The sequence below is a fragment of the Homo sapiens genome, chromosome 6 (assembly GCF_000001405.40).
Source record: "Homo sapiens chromosome 6, GRCh38.p14 Primary Assembly".
Lineage (NCBI taxonomy): Eukaryota > Metazoa > Chordata > Mammalia > Primates > Hominidae > Homo > Homo sapiens.
The window spans coordinates 100,223,770-100,230,362 of record NC_000006.12 but is presented as its reverse complement, the minus strand read 5'-3'; the positions used below and the strand labels follow the sequence as shown (position 1 = coordinate 100,230,362).

Below are 6,593 nucleotides of genomic sequence, written 5' to 3'. Positions count from 1 at the left end.
TACTATTGACTGAACCCAACAAAAGTGATCACCAGACTAGGTAATCAATAAGAGATCGATTACAAGCGTGTGATTGGATTAGCCATTTGATCAATGCTGTGTGCTAATATATTAACAAGCAAATTACCGAGTAGCCCTTAAGAGCAGAATGCTGACTCTGATTGCATTACAAACTAGTGAGATCTAATGACCTACCAAGTGCAAGGGTTAGTTATACAAATCAAGACCTGAAAGTATTTTTTTCCTTGAAGATTTCTCCCCCTCCAAAGAAAATGCTTTCTTAAGTGAGATTCAAATTAAATTACAATTAGCAAGCAGCTGTACTGAGACACCTAATTTCCAAGTAGATATCATGAATGAGAAAGAGGGCTTGGGAACTCCAGATGAAACAGCCTAGAGACTTTTAGGAAGAGCTGGCTAATATCAAAAAGGGAAAAACAAAAAAAAGTCAGAATAGTCACTAATATTTCTCTAATGAAATTTTGATTCATAGTTTCCCAGTTTGGATATATCGAGCTCTTCCATGATAGACTCTAATGTCGCTTGATCTTTATTAAAACTATGTATGTTTTTCCAGCTCCCATTTTGCAGGTAACCTGTTATGTAACTGCTTCAATAGCAGAATAAACAATAGATGTGTGTGTGTGTGTGTGTGTGTGTGTGTGCGCGTGCAGGATGAAGAACTGTGGCTAGTAAAGTACCCTTTTGAGAAAAACAAAAAATTACAAGACAGGTTAGTGCAAAAGTAATTGCAGTTTTTGCCATTTTTTAAAAAGTAATGCAAAAACAGCAATTACTTTTGCACCAACCTAATACAATGTGGAGTGAAGAAAATGTTCTCCACCGTCTAAGTCTTTAGAACTTGTTTCCATTAGCTGATTCCATAAGTGACCTTACAAGAGCAAAACCCCACAAAACAGAGCTCCTCTCCAACCCTGCTTTCCCCATGATTAGGTGAAGCATTTGTTCAATTGATTGTGCTCTTTCAGATTCCCTAAGTGGAGACCAGGCAAGCCTTTGCTCACTTTCCCTCTTAATCCTTTTCCTTTGAAGAAACATTTTTTTTTCCCCTTTGCCTCAGGGAAGCTGAACCGATTAGTCTGAATTCTCCAGTGTTATTTGCAGATGGAAAGGTCTCCCCGGGCCCGGAGGCAGAGTGTCAGCCCGAGCGGCGGCGAGGCCGAGGCGGGGCGTGCTCCCGCGGTGTGGAGGCCGGAGCCGGCTGGCAGGCTGCGGCCTCGTCCGGCCTGGGCGGAGCAGCTGACAAAACAGCCTGCCTGGCTGGGCCGCCAGGGAGGGTGGGAGGGGAGAGGCTGTCAATCAATATCACGGACGCGCAGGAGGGAAACGGAAGATCTGACGGAGCCCTGTCAGTTCCGAGACGCCAAAGTGAACCAAGATTGGGTTTGCCCGCGGTTGGGGACACCTGGTACTTCAGGGTTAAGTGTTTTGGGCACTAGGGGCGCAGGCAGATTTTCCCCTACTTGATACACGTTTGGTGGGTTTCAATTTTTATACTTTAATACATCCGTTTCCGTACCCAAATAGCTAATTCAGTGCCATTGAGAGTACCTAGTGACATTTTTATGAGAACTCTTTTTCCATTTGACTTAAAACTGATGGTAGGAAGTGATCGCAGATGACAGTCCTTTCAGATCTATTCCTTTGTGTTACTCCTTTGTGTGAAAAGCCCCATTCTACGTTTTAAAATACTTTCTGTGCCTACAGAAGCATAAAGTACAGGAAGCTAGCAATATACAGTCACAGAGCTTACTTCTCTTTAAATGAAACGATGAAGTCATCACGTTTATTGTTGATAGAATCTCAACTCACAGTTTACCTCAGGGTGAAGTTCTGTGATAAATGACGTATCTTTGGAATCTGACGAAGCCTCAACTACAGTGGCATATGGTGTAATGATAAAATAATGCTTTTTTAAATCATTACACCATATGATATGGTGTATCATATCATGCTACAAAATGATATGATTTTGCTACAAAATGAGTTATTTCAGTCATCAATGATTACATTCATGATGAGGAACAACATACTTTGAACCAGCAGTAAAATCTCTTCTAATTAATCTTATGTTCATCAAAAACCTCAAACAGAGCAGTTAAAAGAATATCCCGCATCTCATAAATGCAAGTCAGGTGACTATAATGCTATAAACCACTTATTGGAGTGTTACTGATTAATGCCTCTGACATTATTCTACCCTTCTCCTTCTGTAGTGTTATTAATTTGAAGATAGCATCATAAACATTTCTCCACAAGAACCAGCTGTATGGCTCTAGATGATAATGATTGTAATTATTTAAGATAGAAACCAATGGAGGGCAAGCTTCTTGCTTATCACTGTGCCTGATTTAGTAACATGCTGGTGTGCAGGAAGAACTGAGAAGAGGAAGCGAATGATAACAGGCAAAAAAGAAATTTGTTCACATTCAGTAATTCATTTGGGGATTTGTGACTATTTCACTTGGGACAAAAACAAAATCGTTAAGTGACTTGACAAACATAGATCATTAGAATCTATTACACTCTGAACATCATCTAAAGTATATACACTTTCCAGTCCATAGTTTCTTTTTTTAAAAAAAAGTCAATTTTATTTCTAAACTGTCTCATTTTACCTATTTCCATGTTAAATTTAATGACAGTTGATACTGAAGATTTAATGTGATACTTCTCATCAGTTTGCAGATAATTGTTTTGTAGAATATTACAGTGTCCTTTGGCTTTATCCATACCTTATACAGCCTGTTGTTGACCTTCTTCAGTGTGAAAATGAAGGGTATGTTGTTTTGCCTACTTTCATCCACAGAGGATCATTCCCAAACATAAGTGGTATCATTCTTGAAAGCTCCAGTAGGCAGGATTATAACTTGGTTGCAATAGACAGCTCAAGTGTTATCCTGTGAAAGGCTGATGTTTAATGAAGATGAAAAAGCAGGGTTGCGTGGTTAGCTGAAGCATGCATGAGTGATGTGGCTTACAAGAAGAAAGAAAAATGATTCTAATAAAAAAACTTTATTAAATACCCATTAGGATGGTTGTCACTTAAAAAAAAGTAACAAGCGTTGGAGAGGATTTAAAGAAATTGGGAACCTTCTACACTGCTGGTGGGAGTGTAAAATGGTGCAGCTACTGTGGAAAACAGTGTGGAAGATCCTCAAGATTTTAAAAGTAGAATTAGCACACGATCCAGCAATTTCACTTCTGGGTATATACCCAAAAAAATTGAAAGCAGGGGCTTGATCAGATGTTCCTAGCAGTATTATTCACAATAGCCAAAAGTGGAAGCAACCCAATCTGTCTATTGCTGGTTGAGTAAATAAACAAAATGTCATATACTCACACGAAGGAATTCAGCCTTAAAAAGGAAGGAAATTCTGACACATGCTACAACATGGATGAACCTTGAGGACCTTACGCCAGGTATAATAAGCCAGTCACCAAAGGGCAAATATTGTATGATTCTACTTATATGAGATATCTAGAGTAGTCAAATTCTTAGAGATAGAAAGTAGAATGGTGGTGCCAGGGGCTGGGGGGAGGGAGAAATGGGGAGTTATACAGAGTTTCAGTTTGGGAAATGAAAAAAACTCTAGTGATAGTTGAACAACATAAATGTACTTAAGTCACTGAATGTCACATTCAGTGTAAATAATATAAAGCAAATTTTATGTTACGTATACTTCGCCACATGTTGCATTCAGTGTAAATAATATAAAGCAAATTTTATGTTACGTATATATTGCTACAGTTAAAAGAAAAATTCTAGTTAGGGGATAGCACACAGGGATAATCTATTATCTTCATGTGTCACCTCCTTTCTTTTTGAGGAGAAGGAGAAAGCAGTTACCTGCCAAAGTGTATGTTGCATTTTTTCTCCTTCTTCTGGGGGCTCAGGCTGGAGAGGAATATTTTTCATTCCCCTGCGGCCCTTGGCTGCCTGGGAGCAAAGTTTGAGGGAAATGCTGAACAAGGAGTTGAACTATTTGGGCTGCTTTAGCTGGCTTTCCAGAGTAAAGTTTACAATTCACATAGGTAGACTGCATCAATAGGCTACAATTCACACAGGTAGCCTACCAGAAGTTCCTTTACTGCACTGGGTGACAGGTGGGAGGAAATAGCAAAAAGAGTTGCAACTTTCACTTGCTCCCCTTCATACAATAAATATTTACTGAGTGATTATGTGCCGGGATCCATTATGGGCCTCATTTGACTCAAGACAAAGTTCCACACTCAGTAGGGAGCTATGGTCATTCCAGCCCTTTCCAGTTACTGTCTACACAAATTGCCATAATGATGGTTAATGTCTGTCACAGGGGTTAGGGCTGTAATACCAACAAACCAGAATCTTTTAAAAACATGTCACTGATCAATTTGTTTTGAGTTTTCTAATATTTTTGAATCCCACTTATAATTTTTGCCTTGGCCTTGAAGAGGAGCAAGAGTTTCATTAGTCTATGAATATTATTCAGTGATCATCATAAATAGCACCTGAAGTTTATATAGAAGTTTTACCTACTATCCTAAACTGACCGTTTTACACTCTTACATTTTGAGATTTGCTTTTTTTTCCATATATTTTATGGCAGAGACTTTGGATCTAACCTATATGCTGAAGTTAATTGATTTTTATCCTCATTTTAAAAGTCTAAAGTTTTTGGTACCTTCAAAAGGATATATGCAACATATATGTAAATTATAAAACATAATAATAAGATGAACATCTGTGAACTGACCATGCAACTTAAGGAATAGAACGGTATCAATATTGTTGAAGCATCCTTCTTACTTCTTCTGCATCCCATATATCCACCCAAGAGATCACACTAACCTAATTTTTAAAATCATTCTCTTTCTATTCTACTATATATGTATATATCCCTCTGATGGTTAATTTTAAGTTTCAACTTGACTGGGATAAGAGGTATCCATATAGCTGGTGAAATATTATTTCTGGATGTGTCTGTGAGGGTGTTTCTGAAAGAGATTAGCATTTCTATTGGCAGACTGAGTAAAGTAAACTACCTCACCAATGTGGGTGGAAATGACCAATCCTTTGAAAGACTGAAACAAAGAGGCAGAAGAAGGGCAAATTTGCCTTCCCTGCTTGAGGTGACATCCATCTTCCACCCTCTGACATTGGTGCTCCTTGCACCATTGACACCCCACTTCCCAGGCCTCTGAACTTAGACTGAATTACGCCACTGGCTTTCCTCGTTCTCCAGTTTGCAGATGGCAGATTGTGTGATCTCTTGGATTTCATAACTGTGTGAGCAAATTCATATAATAATATGAACATGCTACAAATAAAATATATAAAATATGTCATACTATGAACACATAAAAATTGATATAAGTATCCTCATATATATCTATATACAGTCATGCATCACTTAAGGACAGGGATACATTCTGAGAAATGCATCATTAGGTGATTTTAGGCATTATGCAAACATCATAGAGTGTACTGACACAAACCTAGAAGGTATAGCCTATTACATACCTAGGCTGTATGGTATAGCTTATTGCTCCTAGAATATAAGCCTATATAGCATGTTACTGTACTGAATACTGTAGGCAACTGTAATACAGTCATAAATATTTCTGCATTCAATCATATCTAAACATAGAAAAGGTACATCAAAAATACAGCATAAAAAATAAAAAATGGCACAACTATATAGGGCAGTCACCGTGAATGGAGCTTACAAGACTAGAAATTATTCCGGGAGGTTGAGGGAGTGGTGAGTGAATGTGAAGGCCTAAGATATTACTGTACACTACTGTAGACTTTATAAACACTGAAAACTTAGCCTGTACTAAATTCATTAAAATTTTTCTGTTCTCAATAATAAATTAATTTTAGCTTACTGCAACTTTTTTTCTGACTTTTTATTTATTATTATTACTTTAAGTTCTGGGGTACATGTGCAGAACATGCAGGTTTGTTACATAGGTATATTTTGCCATGTTAGTTTGCTGCACCCATCAACTCGTCATTTACATTAGGTATTTCTCCTAATGCCATCCCTCTCCCAGCCTCTCAACCCCCTACAGGCCCCAGTGTGTGATGTTCCCCTCCCTGTGTCCATGTGTTCTCATTGGTCAGCTCCCACTTATGAGAGAGAACATGTGGTGTTTGGTTTTCTCTTCTTGTATTACTTTGCTGAGAATGATGGTTTCCAGTTTCATCCATGTCCCTGCAAGGGACATGAACTCATCCTTTTTTATGGCTGTATAGTATTCCATGGTGAAACTTTTAAATTTTTTAACTTTCTGACTGTTTGTAACACTTAGCTGAAAACAAATACATTGTACAGCTGTACAAAAATGTTTTCTTTCTTTATATCCTTTTTCTATAAACTTTTCTATTTTTAAATTTTATTTTATTTTTTACTTTTCATACTTTTTTGTTAGAAACTAAGACACAAACACATACATTAGCCTAGGCCTACACAGGATCAGGATCTTCAAATATCACTGTCTTCCACCTCCACATCTTGTCCTACCAGAAGGTTTTCAGGGGAAATAATATTCAGGGAGCTGTCATCTCCTATGATAACAATGCCTTC

At 37.9% G+C, this 6,593-nt stretch overlaps 1 annotated feature.

Annotated features, from left to right (window-relative positions):
- Positions 1,106-1,195: a silencer, noted in NCBI's record as "silent region_17424". NCBI's record gives its function as "represses an Ori minimal core promoter by ATAC-STARR-seq in GM12878 lymphoblastoid cells {active_cell/tissue: GM12878}" and the evidence as "EXISTENCE:reporter gene assay evidence [ECO:0000049][PMID:35858748]".